Consider the following 21553-nt stretch of genomic DNA (forward strand, 5'->3'; position numbering starts at 1 on the left):
ATCCCATGTCTATTAAAAATACAAAAGATTGCTGGGCACGATGGCTCACGCCTATAATCCCAGCACTTTGGGAGGCCGAGGTGGACAGATCACGTGAGGCGGGGAGTTTGAGACCAGCCTGACCAACATGGAGAAACCCTGTCTCTACTAAAAATAAAAAATTAGCCGGGCATGGTGGCGCATGCCTGTAATCCCAGCTACTCGGAAGGCTGAGGCAGGAGAATCGCTTGAACCCGGGAGGCGGAGGTTGCGGTGAGCCGAGATTGCACCATTGGACTCCAGCCTGGGCAACAAGAGCGAAACTCCATCTCAAAAAAAAAAAAAAGAAAGAAAGAAAAATTAGCCAGGCATGGGGGCTGTTTCTGCTAATCAGCAGGGATCTTCGAAAAAGAGACTCCGCCAATGCCTCTGTAATAACATCCAGGGAAAAGTTCTCCACACTAAGATGACTGATTTGCTTCTTTAAATAGGACTTTCCCTAGAACGGAGGAGGGCATTTAATCAGGATACCACTACTTGACAGAAATATCCTTCAGAAATAACACACTCCCTCTGTTTTTATCCTGTTCCAAGCAACCTCCTGAATTACAATGTGTCCTCTTGACTAAACCTACTCACTAAGAAGTGACTGCCCTGTATTGACAAACCATCCAATTATCAAGCTAGACTTGTAAACAAAAATTGCCTTCTAGTTTTCAGAGGAACTCTTGCAGACCAGGCTCCCAATTTAATTCCACATAACTTGATGACCTTGAGGAATGTGATAACAGTTTCTGAAACTGTGATTCACAACCTAAAATAACCTGCCAATCTCTCCTTATCCAGTAACTTTAACAGGGCAGCCAATTACTGTGTTTCAAAAAATTAGTTTAAAAAACGGATGAAGAGTGAATACATGAATGCAAAAGTACCCTTACCCTTAACATTTAGGGTACACCTTCAATAAACATTAACTACTGTTATAGTAATCTACTCTGCCAGTCTACAGAGTGAAAATCGAGTGAGACTACACACGTGGAAACCCTTTGAAAACTATAACACAGAGAACATCATTATTTTAAGTCAGTTATCCATGGTCTACAACATAATGATAACAGTAGACTAGATACGGACTCAAATCCCAATTCTACGACTGCCTAACAATGTGATTCAGAGTGAGTCTAACAGCACTGAGCCTAACATTTCTTCATCTATAAAACAAAGTTCGACTGCAGAATCTTTGTGGGGCCATGACTGGATGAAGGGTGGATATGGTGGGGAGAAGAAAAAAGTTGGGGGTAAAAACAGCAAGCAAGCAAGGTTCCAGTCTCTAAGCCCACCTTCAATTTTAGCAGCCATGCTTTTTTTCCCCCGTAAGTTTTAGGTTTAGGGTCTGAACAAGATTGTTCTTGAAGAAAAAGCACGACAACTTGAAAAAGACTGATAACTAAGAGTAATGAACTAAAAACTAAGTACAAAATTTCTTGGTTCTTTTCTGTTTCCATGTGACTCTGTAAGACAGTCACATGTGGAAATCTCCCAACCCTCGAAAGGTTCACAAGCTAAAACTCACCTACCAGCTAAAACTCAAGTAATCAAATTATAAAGACCAACTGAATTACAGGCTGTCAATACAGCCATGTCCAGTCCCCAGTGCTAACATGCAGTAACAACTAGCCAGGTGAGGTAAGGTTAAGGCAAATGGGAGAGCAGCTCTGTCTATGAGGAGCCCAGGGATCCTGAATGCCTACACAAGACTTCCTCTTTCCATTCTCTCAATAGGGATGTTCAAAACTCTATCAAGAGTCTCATCAAGGACATGCTTATTTAAAAATATAACAAGACTACTTATGCATGCATTTTTCCTAATGTTTTATCTTTTGCTGGAACACACTACTATCAGTTCATTCTAAACTTTATTCTGCTTTCTTTTTACTATAGTTATTGGTAGATTTTACTATCTACCCCGAGAATTATGTTTATCACCAGGAACATTCATTTTCATGTAAAAATGATATTTCCTAGCACTCTGGGGGGCCGAGGCGGGCAGATCACGAGGTCAGGAGATCGAGACCATACTGGCTAAAACGGTGAAACCCCGTCTCTACTAAAAATACAAAAAATTAGCCGGGCATGGTGGCGGTCACCTGTAGTCCCAGCTACGTGGGAGGCTGAGGCAGGAGAATGGCGTGAACCCGGGAGGTGGAGCTTGCAGTGAGCCGAGATTGCACCACTGCACTCCAGCCTGGGCAACAGAGCAAGACTCCATCTCAAAAAAAAAAAAAAGATATTTCATCTATTTACAAAATAATTACTAGCATTACAAGGTTCTAAACAGTTCATCACACACTAGAAAAACTTCCACTACATATCCACAAAATGTTCAAATGTTCAGTGTTAATCTGATGGTTACATATCTGTAACTCTAAAGTCTGTTGATTAACTAATGAAATTCATTTTGAGTGGCTTTTAATCAGTCTTTATTAATACAGTCATATATAAATGTATACATTTGTAAAAAGCAAAGTAGAGGTTCCTCTTCAGACTCTCCTCCCCGTGTAATTAGGAATAAATAGTAACTTCTCTTAGAAGCAAAATTTATTCAAAGACCTGTGCTAACATTCTTAAACATCTGCTAGCCGTAATAAAGAAATCAATGTACTTTATGTTCTTAGCTCCCACAATTTAGCCTAAATATTTGCCCCGGCAAGCTTATACTGGTCCAAGCAAGCGTTAGGTCATAGCCTGTTCCTCTTCCTTATTTGAAGGTGTTTTTACCTTTCTCTACATTCCACAAGTTACTTCCTCCTTCCTTTGTTCTCCTCTGCCTTTGCCTCTTTTAAAACAAGATTGGCTAAGTTGCTAGCCAATCAGAACAAATACAGAATGTGAGGTCCTGTTCCAGCCAATGGAAACCGGGCATAGCAGCAGGGTGGACGCATCAGGTTATAAATGACCCGGTCTCCTTTGTTCGGTGTACTCTCATGGCAAAACTGCTGGCGAGTGTACCCTTTCTGCAGAAAGTATAAAAATGGCCTTGCTGAGGAAATTAAATTTATGTTCAAGTGCTACTTCTTTACAGCACCAGGGAACAAGCATTCCAAAGAGGTTTATCCTATCTTTATGTAATAGTTATCTAAGAAATATTTACTGAATGTAGTTACAAATTGACATGCAAAGAATATGCAATGAATGAATGTGCACATTATAGTAGCATAACATAATTCATGAATATGACACAAATGCAAAGAAAGCAGCCTGTGGCCACCCCTTATCTAGGCAAGGTTGAAACACAATTTGCCTTTGGTGCCCTGCCATATCTCTACTCAACACCTCTCTGTTTTCAGTGCCTCTTTATCTTACTTAGCTGTCAATTCTCTGCTAAGGCATTTATTGACAACTAAGGAACTGGTTAATAAAGGGCTTAAGGTATGATCCAACCCAGGGTCATCTGTGTTTAAAAGAACCTCTTCATGACCATTCAATGAGGAAAGGACAATCTTTTCAACAAATGGTGATAGGAAAACTGGATATCACATGCAAAAGAAGTTGGACCTTTACACCATGTTAAAAAAAAACTTAAAGTGTACAAAAGACATAAATATAAGAGCTAAAACTATCAAACTCTTGGGAGAAAACATAAAAGCTTCATGACACTGGATTTTGCAATGACTTTTTGGGGAAAATGTAACAGAAAAAAACAGATAAACTGGACTACATAAAAATTTAAAACTTCTGTGAATCACAGGGCAAAAAAGGGTTAAAAGGCAATCCACAGAATGGGAGAAAATATCTGCAAATCATATCTGATAAGGGGTTCATACACTTACCAATATAAAGAACTCCTACCATAAACTGTAATAATAAACACACAACGCCACTAAGAAATAAAAAAAGGATCTGAACAGACACTTCTCTAAAGAAGATAGACAAATGGCCAATAAGCACACAAAAAAACGTTCAGTGTCATTAATCACTATGGAAATGCAAATAGAAACCACAATGAGATACCACCTCACACCCAGCAGGATAGCTACTATTAAAAAAAAAAAAAAAAAAAAAACAAGTGTTGATAAGGATAGGAAGAAATTGGGCCCCCGAGCCCTGTTGGTGGGAATATAAAATGGTGCAGCTGATATGAGAAACAGTATGGCAGTTACTCAAAAAATCTGAAATAGAATTATCATGTAATTCCACTTGTGAGTATATATCCAAAGGCACTGAAACCTGAGACACAAAGAGGTATTTATTTGTACATTCATATTAATAAGCATTATTCACAATAGCCAAAAGGTGGAAGCAACCCAAGTGTCCATCCACAGATGAATGGGTAAACAAAATGTGGTATATACATACAACGAAATACTATTCAGCCTTAAAAGGAAGGAAATTCCAAAGCGTGCTACAACTTGCATGAACCTTGAAGGCATTATGGTAAGTGAAATAAACCATTCACAAAAAGACAAATACTGTATGATTCTACCTATATGAAGTATTTAAAGTAGTTAAATTCAGAGACAGAAAGCAGAATGGTGGTTGCGGGTGGAGTTACTGTTTAACAGGTAGAGTCTCAGGCAAGGTGAAGAGTTCTGGAGATGGATAGTGGTGATGGTTGCACAACAATGTGAATGTACTTAATGTGACTGAACAGTTAAAATGGTAAACTTTTATATGTATCGTACCACAATTAAGAAGAAAAGAGTTTTTTAAAAAAGTAGTTCTGAAGCTGGAAACACTGTATAGGCACCTGCAAGCTGCAGTGGACAGGATCTTCAGGTGGGGTGCAAAGCTGGGAAAAAGGCTACTTCAAGAAATCTGTACAGCAGTACCTGGGTGTTTTGTTTGTTTTTTACTTTGAATTGGCAGTAGTGGGAGGCCATTTGTAGAATTTACAAGAACCAGGTATTGCCTTTATGAGTGACTAAGTACATAAAGTGCTAGCACGCATGCCCTAAAAAAAGTTTGGTAACAGTCTGCTCCAATGTGCTCTTATTCTGTCCTTTAATGGTAAAAGTTTTAACAGCACAAACAGCTTTTTATGTAACATTTAGATATAAAAATACAGCTGTTTGTGGGTTTTGTTTTGATTCAACCTTACAGACCATCATTGTCTACGGCTACAGTTTTCAAACAATTGCTGAAGTTGTACGGGCACTACAGACATGCACATCCCACAAACTAGTCAGGTTTTGATCTTGAAGGGACTCTCACCAAGGTATATAAAACAAAACAAAAGGCCGGGCCTGGTGGCTCATGCCTGTAATCCCAGTACTTTGGGAGGCTGAGGTGGGCAGATCATTTGAGGTCAGGAGTTTGAGACCAGCTTGACCAATGTGATGAAACCCTGTCTCCAAAAATCCAAAAAAAATATTAGCTGGGAGTGGTGGCGCATGCCTGTAGTCCCAGCTACTCAGGAGGCTGAGGCAGGAGAGTCACTTGAACCCAGGAGGCAGAGGTTGCAGTGAGCCAAGATCGTGCCACTGCACTCCAGCCTGGGCGACAGAGCGAGACTGTCTCAAAAAAAAAAAAAAGAAAAGAAAAGAAAAGAAAAAAGAAAAAAATTCAGACACCTAGGTGAAGGGCACAATTTCCCAGAAGTACAAGTACTGGCTCTGGAAACCTCTACTTGCTTTTAGCGACTGATTCTAAACCAAGCCAACAGTTCACATTCTAAGCATAGTGCTGCGTGTCTTTCATGTATTTAAGATATCTTTTAAAAATATACAAGTCTAAGATATTTAGATCAGGCTTTATTCCTAACCTAATAAAACCCATTTTTGCCACTTTATGTGTTTTTTTTACACCTTCAGCATACTGAAACATTTTCCTGTTGCTAATTTTTTCTGCTGCAATAAAACAATTTCTGTACCAGATGAGATACTATCTTGATAAACACAGAATTCAAAGAACTTCAATCTATCAAAGTGGCACACAGCACTCTCCACAGAAAAAATTACAGGTTTTGGTACATAAGCCTTTTCTTGAAGTAAGTATGATCTTTCCATCTTTTCTTGGGACATTCTCTATTATTCCTTCATCACTGACTTGTGTTTATACACTGCTTTGTAATGCTAAGTACAGTATGCAATCCTGCTAGGTGTTCCTTTTCAAAAATAGTTTTTCTTGCTCTATTTATAAAAGCAATTCGTGTTTATTGCAGAAAATTGGAAAATACAGAAAACAGAAAAGGAAAGAATTACCCAAATTCCTACCACCTAAAAAAATTCACCTATTAACTGACACTTTATATTTCCTTCCTTTTAGTGTTCCTTTAATTTTTAACATTCAAATTTAATTTATTTACATTTCACATTACTAGTAATACCTTTCACTTCTGAAGTATCCTTAGTTTTCCAAGACCCCTTTACATCTACCATTTATCTTTACAACTCATCCATAGAGTGAGTCAGCCAAGTCCTATTTATTTTGCACACAATAGTTGACTTCTAGGGTAGAGAAGCTAAAAAGTTCTGTAAGGCTGCACTGCTGGCTTGTGGTACAAAATCATACTCATCTTCTACAAAATTATGTTCCCAAATCTTCAATGGAAAAAATAATAATGGTATCAATATGAACTGCTAAAAAGTTAAGAATACTCCTATTGATCTGAAGTAACCTAACACAATTCAACAAAACAGATGCTTCTTCACCAGGTAATCTAGCAACAGTCTGGATCATAATAGAGCCATATATGTAACAAAACTAAGGAAGAAAACAGGTCCTACAATTAAGCTCCATCTAGACCCCAACTAGTCCATATTGATAAGCAGAAGTCGGGAGCGATGGCTCACGCCTGTAATTCCAGCACTTTGGGAGGCTGAGGCAGGCGAATCACATGAGATCAGAAGTTTGAGACCAGCCTGACCAACATGGTGAAACCCTGTCTCTATTAAAAAGAAAAAAATCAGCCGAGCATGGTAGCAGGAACCTGTAATCCCAGCTACTTGGGGGACTGAGGCACGACAATCACTTGAACGCGGTAGGCAGAGGTTGCAATGAGCCGAGATTGTGCCACTACACTCCAGCCTGGGCAACAGAGTGAGACTCCGTTTCAAAAAAGAAAAAAAAAAAAGAAGTAGAGATTCAAAGACAGCATCAACTTTGTTGCTAACCGGTTCTCTGAACTTAAGCAAGTCATAATCAGTCATATTTTAGTTCCTCCGTATGTGGAAAGAGTTGGACCTGTTTGAAATGCTTGTTCCCCGGTGCCATAAAGAAACAGCACTTGAACATAAATTTAATTTATTTAGTAAGGCCATTTTTATTTCCTGCAGAAAAGGTACACTCGCCAGCAGTTTTGCCATGAGAGTACAAGGAACAAAGGAGACAGGGTCATTTATAACCTGATGCGTCCATCATACTGCTGTGTCTGGTTTCCATTGGCTGGAACGGGACCTCACATTCTGTATTTGTTCCGATTGGCTAGCAACTTAGAACTTTTTAAAAGAGGCAAAGGTGGAGGAGAACAAAGGAAGGAGGAAGTAACTTGTGGAATGCTGAGAAGGATAAAAACACTTTTAAATAAGGAAGAGAACAGGATATGACCTAATGCTTGCTTGGACCAGTATAAGCATGCCAGGGCAAATATTTAGGAGCACAGGTCTTTGAATAAATTTTGCTTCTAAGAGAAGTTACTATTTATTTCTAATCAGATGGGGAGGAAAGTCTTTGAAGAGGTACATCTACTTTTACTTTTTACAGACCTGACAAATTCTAGAGTCTTTTGCAATTTTTTAAATGTACATGATTCTGCGCTTGAACCCAGGAGGCAGAGATTGCAGTGAGCCGAGATTGAGCCACTGTACTACAGCTTGGGTGACAAAGCAACACTCTGTCTCAAAAAAAAAATAAATAGGCCAGGCACAGTGGCTCACGCCTGTACTCCCAGCACTTTGGGAGGCCGAGGTGGGTGGATAACAAGGTCAGGAGTTCAAGACCAGCCTGGTCAACATGGTAAAACCCCATCTCTACTAAAAAATACAAAAATTAGTCAGGCGTGGTGGTGGGAGCCTATAATCCCAGCTACTCCGGAGGCTGAGGCAGAGAACTGCTTGAACCTAAGAGGCGGAGGTTGCAGCAAGCTGAGATCATGCCACTGCACTCCAGCCTGGGTGACAGAGTGAGACTTCGTCTCAAAAAAATAAATAAATGAAAATAAACAAATGTGTATGATTCTACACATCTAGTTTTAAAAACGCTTTCAACAAACACATACATATTATGCAACTTTACGTAACTTTTTCTATGCTTGCCAAAAAACAACAAGATGTACCTATCCACAGATGTGGCTGTGCAGTAAGAATCCTAACCCAAACAGATGTTTGGCCTTTGCCCTTGGTTCCTGGGAGGTAATCCTTTCTTTTCCCCCCCTTCACATGGTCCAAGATGAGACTGGGAGGTAACCTCTAAGCCCTTAGAACGTCCACCTTATGGGAGCAGTGACTCACGCCTGTAATCCCAACACTTTAGGAGGCTGAGGCGGGCAGATCACAAGGTTAGGAGTTCGAGACCAGCCTGGCCAACATGGTGAAACCCCATCTCTATTAAAAATACAAAAATTAGCCGGGCATGGTGGCACACGCCGGTAATCCCAGCTACTCAGGAAGCTGAGGCAGGAGAATTGCTTGAACCCGGGAGGCGGAGGTTGCAGTGAGCCCAGATTGCGCCATTGCACTCCAGGCTGGGTGACAGAGCAAGAATCTGTCAATAATAATAATAATAATAATAATAATGTCCACCCTGTTAAGTGCTTTTGTTTACCTGGGGGCTTTGAGCCACTCCAGATAGTTTTGCACTGTGATTTAAGGTGAAGGGCTTTGAGCCATGTATTATCAACCTCCTGAAGGGCTGAAAACTAAAGGTCAACCATGCCAACAGTCAATCATATCTAAGTGACCAAGTCCCAGTACAAATGCTGGACACCAAGGCTTGGGTGAGCTTCCCTGATAGGCAATCTCCATGAGTAGTGTCACACATCAGTGCCAGAAGTTGGCACCGTCCATAACTTCGCTGGCAGAGGATAACTGGAAGTTTCGTAAGTGGACTCTTCTGTGTGCCCCATGCACCTCTTCCCTTGGCTGATTTTATTCTGTATCTTTTCACTGTAATAAATCCAACCATAAGTAAAAGCCCTTTCAGGAGTTCTTTGAACCCTTCTAGCCAATTATTTAACCTAAGGATGGTGTGGATCCCCAAACTTGCAGTTGATCTCATAAGTGAGGGTGGTCTTGGGACCCCAACTCCACGATGGCAAAACGGCACTGTCCTCCAGTATTCATTCTTCTTTCTTACTTTTAGTAATGGAACACCTCTCCCGCCCCTCTTAGCAGGAGGCAGAGTGGGCAACCAGAGACTACATTTCCCACGCTCCTCTCAAAATCGGGGGTGGCCATGTGACTAAGTTCTGGCCAAGGAGGTATGAGCAGAGTGATGTGTACAAAAATATGAACCATATTCCTAAAGAAAGCTGTTTACTTCTTTTTCTGGGATGCAGTTGTGAGGTAACCCAGCTTCAACCATGGGAATAAGGACAATACCCTATGGAAGGGCTAAGCACACAGAGAACTGTGGAACCCCTAAAACACTGAGGTGCTCACCTACTACGGACTGCCTATCTACCTCTGGACTATTACAGGAGAAAGAAAAACTTAAAAATTGTTTGTTCCATTGTATTCTGAAGTCCCTGTTACAGCAGCTTAGCCTGTACCCTAATGCATAAGTACATCTGAGCATTTTAATATGATTTTGATTCAATATCTATATAAATTAAAAATAGACAAACAATAAGATGTACTGTATAAAAAATATTTGGATATATTAAACCTGAAAATGTATAACAAACATTTGTATGTCCCAGTTTGAGGCTGATCTGATTAAAAGGAAAGCGTCTATCCCAAACAATTCAATACAACAAAGAGTTTTCTCTTATTCTTCTTGTTATTCATAACTACCAAAAAAAGATGCTTGATTTAACAAAATCAATAGTTAATACAAACTGAAGGGGGCTTCCTGAAACAACGACTAATGCTTTTCTTCCCTTCAATTACAGATTTCCATAGAAAGGGAAAGAAGTAGAGACACTGTTTTAATAAAGTACCTAGGAGGCTAGGCACAGTGGCTCACACCTGTAATCCCAAGACTTTGGGAGGCCAAGGCAGGTGGATCACCTAAGGTCAGGAGTTCGAGACCAGCCTGGCCAAAATGGCAAAATCCCATCTTTATAAAAATACAAAAATTAGCCGAGCGTGGTGGTGCACACCTGTAGGTAGTCCCAGCTACTCGGGAGGCTGAGGCAGGAGGATCACTTAAACCCGGGAGGCAGAGGTTGTAGTGAAACTGAGATCACACCACTGCACTGGCCAACACTGAGACTCTGTCTCAAAAAAATAAAAAATAGAAAGTACCAAAGAGAACTGCCTTCTCTAGTTTTCCAGAGTGCGGCCAAATCACCCACTTTCCAAACACCTTCCCCTCAATTTTCCTGCTTTCCTGTGTTCCAAACCACATGGCCCAATTGCATTTATTAAGCATCTCCACTAGGATGTTCTACACATCTCAAAGTCAGCATGTCCATAAGCAGGATCAAGCTACGAAGGAACACAAAAGAATGTTCTAGAGATGACATGATAAAAATTAAGAGTCTAGAGGAAGGAGGAAGAAGCCACTGATCTTCACTAAGGAGAAGTGGTATAATCTCACAGGAAAGCCAAATGATTATCTGTAGAAAAGTTCAAGGTTGCAATAAATCAGGGATTCCAAAGGCCACAGCAGAAGAGCTAGTAACAGGAAGAACAGAACTTAGCTGAAGAATAAAGGAAATAATATCAAAGAAGAGGGAAATATATCTAAAGCAGTAATTCTCACACGTGAGCATGCATCAGAATCACTAGCACAGGGCCTGTTAAAACACAAGATGCTGGGCCCCAACTCCAACGTTTCTGATTCAGTGAGTCTAGGGCAGGGCTGGAAATTTGCATTTCCAGCTGGACTGCGGCACACACTTTGAGAACCACTGGTTTTGCCTGTACCTAAAAATGTATCTATAGTGGTGATAATAGAGAAAAGGACAGTTCAGTGGTAACGAGAAAGGTTATATACAGTAGAGAGAATGATGCTACAACGTGTCCTAAGTAGAATGAATTTCACATCAGGAGTAATGCAATTCACCAGGTGAAGGTTTTAATTAGATTGCAGGCGACAGGCTGGGCACAGTTGCTCATACCTGTAATCCCAGCACTTTAGGAGACCGAGGTGGGCGGATCACGAGGTCAGGAGATCGAGACCACACTGGCCAACATGGTGAAATCCCGTCTCTACTAAAAATAAAAAAATTAGCCAGGTGTGGTGGCACTCCCCTGTAGTCCCAGCTACTTGGGGGCTGAGGCAGAAGAACTGCTTGAACCAGGGAGTCAGAGGCTGCAGTCAGCCGAGATTAGGCTACTGCACTCCAGCCTGGGTGACAGAGCGAGACTCTGTCTCAAAAAAAAAAAAAAAAAACAAAAAGATTACAGGCAACAAAATCTCGCCTGTCCTGCCCCCCACTTCCCCTTACCCCAAATTCCAGGTCTGAGCTAATGGTTTTTCTCCATTCACTTAGAATTTACTATAATCTATAGTTTTCAAGGTGAGTAAAATGAGAATAAACCACAATCCAAGGTTATCAGAGATTTGCATATAACTATAATATGAGATCTGTAATCCCAGCATTTTTGGAGGCCAAGGTGGGAAGATCTCTTGCGTGAGACCAGCCTGAGCAACACAGCAAGACCTCATCTCTACAAAAAAAATAAAAATAATAAAAAGAGCCAGGCATGGTGGCACACACCTGTAGTCAGGAGGCTGAGGTGGGAGGATCGCTTGAGCCTGGAAGGTCAAGGCTGCAGTGAACCACTGCACTTGGCCTGGGAGACAGAACAAGACCAAAAAAGTAAAAATAATAATAATAATAATAATAATACAAGATCCTGCATTATAGGCACTAATGGAATGCAATAAATGCACAGAGAAAACAGCCATAAATCTCATGTTCGAGAAGACACCCAAGAAAGCATCACTGAGAGGTAGATCTGAACTAAGAACAATCAGTAGGATTTTACAGGATAGAAGGTAGGATAGAAGGTAGGTGGGAAGGGGTGACATGAAGGCAAAGATTTCAGGAAGAAGAAAAATTCATAATTAAAAACATAAAAGGGCCGAGTGCAGTGGCTCACACCTGTATCTCAGCACTTTGCGGGGTTACGGCAGGAGGACTGCTCAAGCCCAGGAATTCGAGATCAGCCTGGGCAATGAAGTGAGACCCTTGTCTCCACAAAAAATTTGTTTTTAATTAGCCAGTCATGGTGGTGCACGCCCATGGCCACAGCTACTTGGGAGAGTGGGATGGGAGAACTGCTTGAGCCTGGGAGGTTAAGACTGTAGTGAGCCATCATCACGTCACTGCACTCAGGCCTAGACTATAGAGCAAGACTCTGCCTCATAAAAAATACAAAAAGATGTTTAGGACAACATTCTAGAACTTACCAGTATGTAGGAACATGGCCAGATGTAGAGGTAGACAAACTAAGGTAGGTGGAGAAATATAACAGAAGGCCTTGAATATATCATACTAAGAAGTTTAAACCTTACTTTGTAAGTTTTAAGCAAGTGTAAATTGGGTGGGAGAGTTTCTGGCTCCTGAGCCTAGCCTACACCATAACGTATAAATCTTAGCAGAAGTCCTCACCTTGTGCATTCCACCCACACAAGTCATTAGATCTCTGAACTCACAAGGTAACTGGCATAAACAATGACACATAACTAAAAACAAATCCCTCAGAGCAACTGCAATTCAAAAATATAGTCAAACTCTTTTTTTCTGGACCTGCTATCAGTTCCAGCATTCACAAATCCCTTTTCTCACAAATGCTTCTATTAAATGTAATTCCAAATAAACATAAAGGAAGCAGAAGTTGTCACTGCTTCTGGAATTTTCCCTTGCTTACACCAAGAATATATTTAAAATTATATACTTTTAAAAAAACAAAAACATTACAACATGCTACATTCTTCAAGACACCAGAAGTCTTATTCAATGTAACAATTTAGCACACTATAATCTCTGAGGAACAGTGAGTTCCAAGATAATTCAATATAATCTTCAAGTGACAATCTGAAATAAGATTAGGCATAAATAATATGCAAAAGAATATTAACCTCCAACACAGTAAACTTGAAGTGTTAGTAACTTTGACTCAAGTGCTAAAATTCAAAACAGCAATTAAGTTACTGAAACATTTTACAACCCTAACACAAATAGATTATCAATGCCTCCACCCTACCCATAAATATCTCACTTCATAATTTCTTCTTCCAAATAACTAATGAATAATTACGTACATCTAAAAGTACAAATTCAAGACCAATACCAAAATTCAGATTTTTTACAGCCAATTATTAAGCTTTAAAGTATCAAGTATACAGTTTATAACCCAAGCTACAAAATTTATGTAATTAAAACATTTAACTCAAGTGAATAACCCAAGTTTTAAATTATATTGTATCAATAAAAAAAATGTTATGTAGTAATTCTCAACAGAAGGCAATCCTTCTATCCATATTCAAATGCAACCTGTTCCAATTTTTAATACAACAGAGGTAACTGGGTTACTATCACTACTACTAGTTTTAGCTGTCATAAATTGAGCAAGTGTCTGTTCTCACTTCTTTAGCCAGCATTGTGTAATAAAGAATTTGGGGCCCAGGCACAGTGGCACATGCCTGTATACCAGCACTCTGGGAGGCCAAGGCAGGAGGATCACTTGAGGCCAGGAGTCTGAAACCAGCCTGGGCAACATGGGGAGATCCCTACACACACACACACACAAAAATTTAAATTAGCCAGGTGCGGTGGTGTGTGCCTGTAGTCCTAGCTACTGGGGAGGCTGAGGCAGGAGGATCACTTTGGCCTGAAAGCTGGAGGCTACAGTGAGCTATGATAGCACCACTGTGACACAGTGAGACCCCGTCCCTAAAAAAACAAAAACAAAAAAATTTGACTGGCCATTGTCTGATTCCTGGAAAACTCTACTCTTGGAGTCTCCCAACTGATAGGAGTGTCTTTGTTATCCATGAATCCATAATGGGTCCTCCTTGGCCCACAGCTGAGTTTCTATTAACAGGGTGACTCCCAGTAGGCCCCTAGTTTCAGGATGGGGCCTGGCCATGCTGGAAATGCCAACCATGTGAATAGTGGGTTGGGCTTTGAGCAACCTGACATCAGCCTAACAACTTGACCTCCAGGGAGAAGGGGACTGGGGACTGAGTTCAATCATACCTATGTAATAAAAGTCCCATAAAAACTCCAGATGCTGTAGAGTAAGTGAGGTTTCCTGGCTGGCAATCATTCACTGCTGTACTGGAAGGATGACACGTCCTGAGGACATGGAAGCTTCATGTTTGGGACCCTCCCAGATCTTGTTCTATGTGTCTCTTTAATTGGCTGGTCCTGATTTGTATCATAACTGTAATTCCAAGAACAGCACTTTCCTGAGGTCTGCGAGTCATTCTACCAAATTATCAAACGTGAGGTGTAGTGGGAACTCCGAAAGTTGTAGCCAGTTGGTCAGAGTGTGGATAACCTGCAAGTCCTGGAGTTTGTAGCTAATATAAGAAGTGAGGAGAGTCTTGCAGACTGTACCCTTAACTTACGATGCCTTACCTAACTCTGGGTAGCAGGTGCCCAAATTACACTACAGCTATAAAATAGGATATGCTGCCTTACTTCTCTTCCCAGGACTCTTAAGAGAATTAAATGAGAAAAAAGTTAGGTAAAAGCACTCTTTAAGATATAAAACGTTGTGTTTGCTTCGGCTGCACATACACTAAAATTGGAATGACACAGAGAAGATTATCATGAGAAAAAATTCTGTATTAAAAAATTTACACTTTGGGAGGCCGAGGCAGGCGGGATCACCTGAGGTCAGGAGTTCGAGACCAGCCTGGCCAACATGGTGAAACCCCGTCTCTACTAAAAATACAAAACCCAGCTGGGCGTGGTGGCAGGTGCCTGTAATCTCAACCACTTGGGAGGCTGAGGCAGGACAATCGCTTGAACCTGGGAGGAGGAGGTTGCAGTGAACCAAGATCATGCCATAGCACTCCAGCCTGGGCGACAAGGGCAAAACTCCGTTTCAAAAAAAAAAAAAAAAATTTTTTTTTTGTTACGGTCTTTAAGATATTGAAGAAGAAATTGTTAAAACATTTGTAAAGTTCAGAACTGTCCAGGTTAAATGCTTTAAAAAAAAAGGCTTAAAATAAAAAGCTAAGGAGTCATCAAGAAATTGAATTTATTATGAGTAAAATACAGAACTTAATGAAAACCATTTAAAAGAGCAAAAAATCTAAGTAGTTTCAACTACATAACTCAGACCAGTGCCTAAAAGATAAAAATGCATTAAGTCCATTCCTAGAAATAGCAAATGTAGAAATGATGGAGCTTAGAGAATGTAAGATGCAGCCATTATTTTGTGACTAAACCTCCAAAAAGTTCATTTTAGCCTTGGGTATGATCAGGAATGACTGAGGTCAGTAAGCAACACTTTGCTTAATAGGCTATGAGTTTGAATACGAACTACTCACATCACAACCAACTTTTTTTGCCCATCACTACCTAATATTTTAATTCAAGCACAAAGCCATGGGACCCGACTAGTCTTTAAAAGGTTTCTCAAAGCATCCTATGTGGATAAGGCAGTCTCCTGCCTATATGAGAAAGTATCATTTTCAACTGCATTATAATAGAGGACAAAATTTTTTTCTATTATGTTCCAATGATAAAATCAAGACTTTAAATCGTAATTTTACAAGAACATATCGTTTTATTTTCCACCCTCTTGAATATGAGATACTAAGTGTTGCTGGTCTTTCCCTCAGTAATGCAGGGAACAGTTTGGTGTAGCAGGGGGAAAAAATGGCCTTGGGGGGAAAACCTAGGGTCTCATCTTATTTCTCCTCTTTAGCAGGCAAATGACTCTTGGGGTCTCACTTTCCTCCAGTAAGATATAATGGCATTGCCTCTGGAGTCTGTAAGATTCTTCCTACCCCTGACATTCTGAGGTGTTGAGAAGCCAATAACTCATAATTTAGATATTCTTACAAATTAAAAAAGCCTTGCAAGGAAATGTCAGAAACCATTAAAATTTATGTAAAAACATCCCACCTATGTGTTCCTCCTTATTGAAGGAGATCCAGGTAAAGATCTCCTATGTAGGCTATTATCCTTAGCAAACTAACACACGAACAGAACACCAAACACCACATGTTCTCACTTGCAAGTGGCAGCCAAATGATGAGAACTCATGAACGCAAAGAAGGGAGCAATAGACACTGAGTCTACTTAAGCGTGGAGGGTGGGAGGAGGGAAACGAGCAGAAAAAGTAACTATTGTGTATCAGGCTTAATACCTGAGTGATGAAACAATCTGTACAACAAACCCCCATGACACTAGTTTATCTATATAACAAACATTCATATGTACCCCAGAACCTAAGATAGAAGTTTAAAAAAAAAATTGCCCCATAGTCAGCAGGAAACACATCACTAGTAACTTTTACTAAATATTTACTTGCTACCTCCAATTTAGCCCTGAGCAAACTTAAGACATTTATGTTTTCTTAAATCTAATGTATTATATGCAAAACCTTTTCAAACTATTTACAAAGCTGAAGCACCAAGACACATGATTCTTTGACTTATTTTTAATGACTTTTAAATATGAGAAAAACATTAATTACGATGCAAGTCATCATCCTATTAAAACATTTCACTTATAATACAAGCATTTAAGTATAGTAGTAGTAGTTAAATCTAAAAAAAAAACAAAAAATTAGCCATAAATAATGATGAAGCTGCCAGTAGTTAACAACACACACTCACAAATAATGAGATAAATTTAACGGCAAGCTTCCAAACAAAAACCTTGTCATTTTAAGGTGTCCCACAGCAGACCGGTTATGACCTCGGGAACTGGCCTGAAATCTTGCCTCCTTTCTTGTGTAACCAGCCAAATAACAACACCTCTCTAAATCTGTTTCTTTATAATGGTGCCAACCTTATACGGTAGCTGTAGATATTAATTAAGACACTGCACCTAGGAAAGAGCCTAGCACACAGTAAATAATAACTCACAATTATTAAATTTTGGAAGAAATGTTACACAAAGCAGCAGCCCTTTGACTTTTAAAAAAAAATTTACACCTAGGGTTTAGGATCCTATTACTTGTTAAAGTTCAGACTGAGAAATGAAATAACAATCCTACAAAGAAGCATTTTACTAAGGACAAGTGAATTTAAAATAACTGGTATTATGCAAGTTCAATTACCACAGGCAGAATCTTAGTTTATGAGAATAATTCAAGTTGTATTAGCTGAAAATATCTATTATTACAAAGTCACTGTCTCCATCAATTCTTTCTTCTCTTATTTCTGTATCTGCTAAAGAAAAATAAATCATTATGAAAAGAACAGAAAGATACAGAGCACAGCTGGGTTACTTTAAGTTCCAATTAATAACCAAATATAATCTGAGGGGAAAAACCCAGTGAAAGAAGGGAGAAACTGAACACAACTAAAGATGATAAAAATTTCCTTCCCAAATACTACAAGACTCATATTTCAACTGGATCTTCAAGGACTTTCCTGTCTGAAGACACGAAGCCTCCAGCAAGTCCTTTCATCACCACAATCAGATCTCCAGCTGAACTTCAAAGGGAACTCTATAAAAGCCACTCTGGTGGGCGGTTGTTGAGATAATCACTCTTAGCATCTTCTACAGATTGAAAAATAAAAAACCTGACTTACACATTAAGACCAAACACCAGTCACCATTCTCAACAGTTTATTTTTTAATTTGCTCTAGACATCCACAAAATGTATTTTTTAAAGGCGTTCCATAAATACAATTTTGGTGGCTAACAAAAATTCAGCACCAAAGTAATAAATATAAAATTTAGCCAGACACAGTGGCTCACACTTGTAATCCCACCATTTTGGGAGGATGAGGCAGGAGGATGAGGCAGGAGACTGTAGCCCAAGAGTTTGAGACCAGCCTGGGCAAAACAGTAGGACCCCATCTTTACAAAACATTAAAAGACTAGCCAGGCATGGTGGCACATGCCTGTAGTGCAGGCTACTCGAGCGCCTGAGGCGGGAGGCTGGCTTGAGCCCAGGAGGTTGAGGCTGCAGTGAGCCGTGATCACACCACTGCATTCCAGCTTGGGCAACAGAGCAAGACCCTGTCTCAAAAAATGTTAAAAAAGAAAAAAATTCAATTAACCCACCTTTATCTCATGCCAAAATACAAAATCCTAAGTGAACAAGCTAATTTCAAATAGTTCCTAGAAGGTTTAAAATTTCCCTGTTCTGGGCTGGGACCAGTGGCTCACGCCTGTAATCCCAGCACTTTGGGAGGCTGAGGCGGGCGGATCACGAGGTCAGGAGACCGACACCATCCTGGATAACACGGTGAAACCCCGTCTCTACTAAAAATACAAAAAATTAGCCGGGCGTGGTGGCAGGTGCCTGCAGTCCCAGCTACTCGGGAGGCTGAGGCAGGAGAATGGCGTGAACCCAGGAGGTGGAGCTTGCAGTGAGCCAAGATGGTGCCACTGCACTCCAGTGTGGGCGACAGAGCGAGACTCCATCTCAAAAAAAAAAAAAATTACCCTGTTCTAAGCACTTTACATACATTAACTCAATTATTACTCACCATAATCCTGTGAGGTAGGTATTATTACAGTCATCCTACAGATGAGCAGAACTGAGGCACCACCAAGTTATTAACTTGCCCACAGTCTCAATCAGTAAATGGTGGGAGCCAGAGAATTCTGACCCTAGCTGTCTGATTCCAGAGCCAATATTTAAATCAACTATACTATTCATTTACTCAACAAGTTTTACTGACAGCCTACTATGTACCAGGCACAGTTCTAAGCACTGGGGATAAAGCTGTGTACAAGTCAGACAAGACCTCTGCTCGCTTGTTGAGAACAGGGCTGGCAGCAAACAAGTCTAAGGGGGGAAATAAATAAGTGGGAAAAAAAAAACAGTGTATCTTCACCTAGTAATAAATGCTATGGAGAAAAAGAGAATAAAGAATAAAAGATTATAAAGGAAGGGGCTGGTTCCTATTTTAGAATTAGAAAAGGCCTGAGGCGATGACATTTGAGCAGAAACACAAGACAAGACATGAAGAGCCTTGACCACTTAGAGGAAGGGGTGGTCCAGCTAAAAGAATAGTAAGTATAACATCCTAAGGAAGAAACACTTTGTTCAAGAACCGGCAAAATGACTATGGGACTGGGGTAGGTTGCTGAAAGTCAGTCACCTAGTAAGAGGTAACGTTAGAAGCTGGCAGCTGCCAAATCATGCTATGCCCTGATGGCGACTAAGATTCAAATGTAAGTGGTTCACAGGATGCTTTTAGAGGACACTAAGCAAGAAAGTGACAATCTGATTTACATTTTTAAAAAGATCCCTCTGGTTGTCAAGGTGAATCCCTAGGGAACAGTCAGGGAGCAAGAGAAATAAACCAGTAAAGGCACTATGGAAACACTCCAACCAAGAGATAATGGAACTTAGACTAGGATTCATGTACTGTTTATAAGTAGATGCTAACAGAAGAGCCTGCAACCTAATTGCCTCTAAAGAGCCTTTTTAATATCCCTTTTCCCGTCTCGTCTCCTGACTTGCCTTTGGAAAAAAATAAGATTATTTTTTAATGTCCATGTTAACGCTTCAGTTGGTGCTATTATAGTAAAAAAAAACTTTTCATTTTTAAATGTTCTGTTTAATATACTCTATGATTAGTAATACGCCACATATACACACCCATACATTCTTGAAAAGCAGAAAGACCCACAATGCTCTTTAGTGTAGGACTTGTTCATTTATTTGGAGACGAGAGGTACCTGTCACCTCTTCTGATTACCTTTCCTCTCACGCTTTGTCTCTAGCACATCCTGGCTCATTCTAGATTGTGAACTGCAATAAACAGGTATACCAAAGGGAATATGTATTTACTGAGCACCTCCTGAGTACCATGGTGTCACTAGATGTCTCACGTTTAAGAACTGATTTAATCCTCAGCTACCCAAGGTGGGAAATGGTATCTTCATTCTACAAACGAGAAAAAATCAGAGATACTAGTAACTTAACTTGTCCAGTCACCAGCTAACAATTTGTAGGGCCAGAAATCTAACCTCCATGTAACTGTGAACTTCCTGTCTTTCCACTACAGCAGCTATCAAAGAAAGTGCTTTCAAATATATATTATATGTAGTCACTGCAACTTCTTATGAATAATGACCAGTTTGTTGCTGGTGAGGACAACGTTTCCTTAATGCTCTTATGTAGAATCAGAGTTTTGAAGTTGCGAGTGGGAAGTTGGAAATGTAGTGATCTTATATATTCAAGCACATTATTTTTTAAAAATTATGTTCTACTTGAGACCTCATAGAAATTAATTTTAAAAGAGCAATTCCCATCTTTACAAAAAAAATTAAATATGTACGGTTTACCGTAAAATAGCGGTTAAGGTTCTACAACAAAAGATAGGAGTTTGGTACAGACTCTACCCTCAAAAGGTCCTACACAGTAAGAGAAGACAGGGCTAAAAAGATAAACGCAACACAGGAAAAGGCGCAAATAGCCTAAGAATTGAATGGAAGAGAGCCTTGTATACTGGAGAATGATTCCTGGAAGAGGAACTTTAGGTGAGCTCTTAAGTGTCCAGTACAGGAAGGCAGGGAACAATACGCAGCACTGGTCCCTGCACGGGCAAACCCAAGAATATGTGTGAAAGGTTGGTGGACAGATAGATGGTTCCCACAGGCTGATTTGCTACATACAGAACTCCATAGAAAGAACCAAGGTTATGGTTGGTCCTACCCTACCTAAACAGGAAATGGCTTATTCTCGGAGACTAAAGTGCCAAGTCCGGAAAGACCAGACAGATACACAGAATTACAGACTGTTACATAAAGTCCTTAATAGTTACAAGCCCTTGTTGTGCTATGTGCTAGTCTGCATTATTTTCACCTAAATGAAACCATTTCTACTTAGTACATGGCGTGAGAAGACGTGGAGATAAAGAGAATTAGCAGACGTATATTATCTGCAATTTATCTTACGGAGGAGTACATTAAGGAGTGTTATGTGAGATTATTTCTTTACAAACTGAGAATAGGTAGGAAGAGCAGCGAAACACAGCGCGGCTCGGTGCGCCCAGAGCGGCGTCACTGTAACAGTACAGAAGTGGGCAAGGGGCTCTCGGAAGGACAGTTGGGGAACGGCGCCCAGCGTATTTAGCGAACGGACAAGCAGCAAGGAAAAACAAGGGAGCAACAACCGCCTTCGGACATTCCGACCGGTTCTGGGATGCACCGGGGACGTCGAAGGCGGGGTGCGGAAAAACGCTGTGGCTGGAGTGCGGGTGGGAGCGGCGGCTCGACCGGGTCGACATTCTACAAACGCTTGTGGAACGAACGCCCGAACGCGCGCGTGAATGAATGGCGCGGAACTGAATGGCCGGCCGAGGCGC

At 40.4% G+C, this 21553-nt stretch overlaps 1 protein-coding gene across 24 annotated transcripts in view, besides 2 other annotated features; it reads right to left on the bottom strand.

The window, feature by feature from the left end:
• The window catches only part of REV1 (REV1 DNA directed polymerase), an 89726-nt gene that overhangs the window by 67393 nt on the left and 780 nt on the right, over positions 1 to 21553 (bottom strand). Inside the window, exon 1 of one of the 24 annotated variants that reach the window (XM_047444717.1) lies at positions 11804 to 21533. The exons of 17 other annotated variants lie outside the window; for them this stretch is intronic. In XM_047444717.1, the coding sequence (XP_047300673.1) occupies positions 11804 to 12117 (314 nt within the window). In that variant the 5' untranslated portion in view covers positions 12118 to 21533. Of the gene's footprint in view, positions 1 to 11803; positions 21543 to 21553 lie in introns of those variants that run through there. 6 more of the 24 variants (XM_017004309.3, XM_017004310.2, XM_017004313.2 and 3 more) reach the window with 6 other exon arrangements.
• Positions 7728 to 8391: an enhancer, noted in NCBI's record as "H3K27ac-H3K4me1 hESC enhancer chr2:100092059-100092722 (GRCh37/hg19 assembly coordinates)". NCBI's record gives its function as "activates a minimal SCP1, AML or CMV promoter by ChIP-STARR-seq in primed H9 embryonic stem cells {active_cell/tissue: H9 hESC(primed)}" and the evidence as "EXISTENCE:reporter gene assay evidence [ECO:0000049][PMID:30033119]".
• Positions 11173 to 11252: an enhancer, noted in NCBI's record as "active region_16288". NCBI's record gives its function as "activates an Ori minimal core promoter by ATAC-STARR-seq in GM12878 lymphoblastoid cells {active_cell/tissue: GM12878}" and the evidence as "EXISTENCE:reporter gene assay evidence [ECO:0000049][PMID:35858748]".

Source organism: Homo sapiens, chromosome 2 (assembly GCF_000001405.40).
Source record: "Homo sapiens chromosome 2, GRCh38.p14 Primary Assembly".
In the NCBI taxonomy this organism is placed as follows: domain Eukaryota; kingdom Metazoa; phylum Chordata; class Mammalia; order Primates; family Hominidae; genus Homo; species Homo sapiens.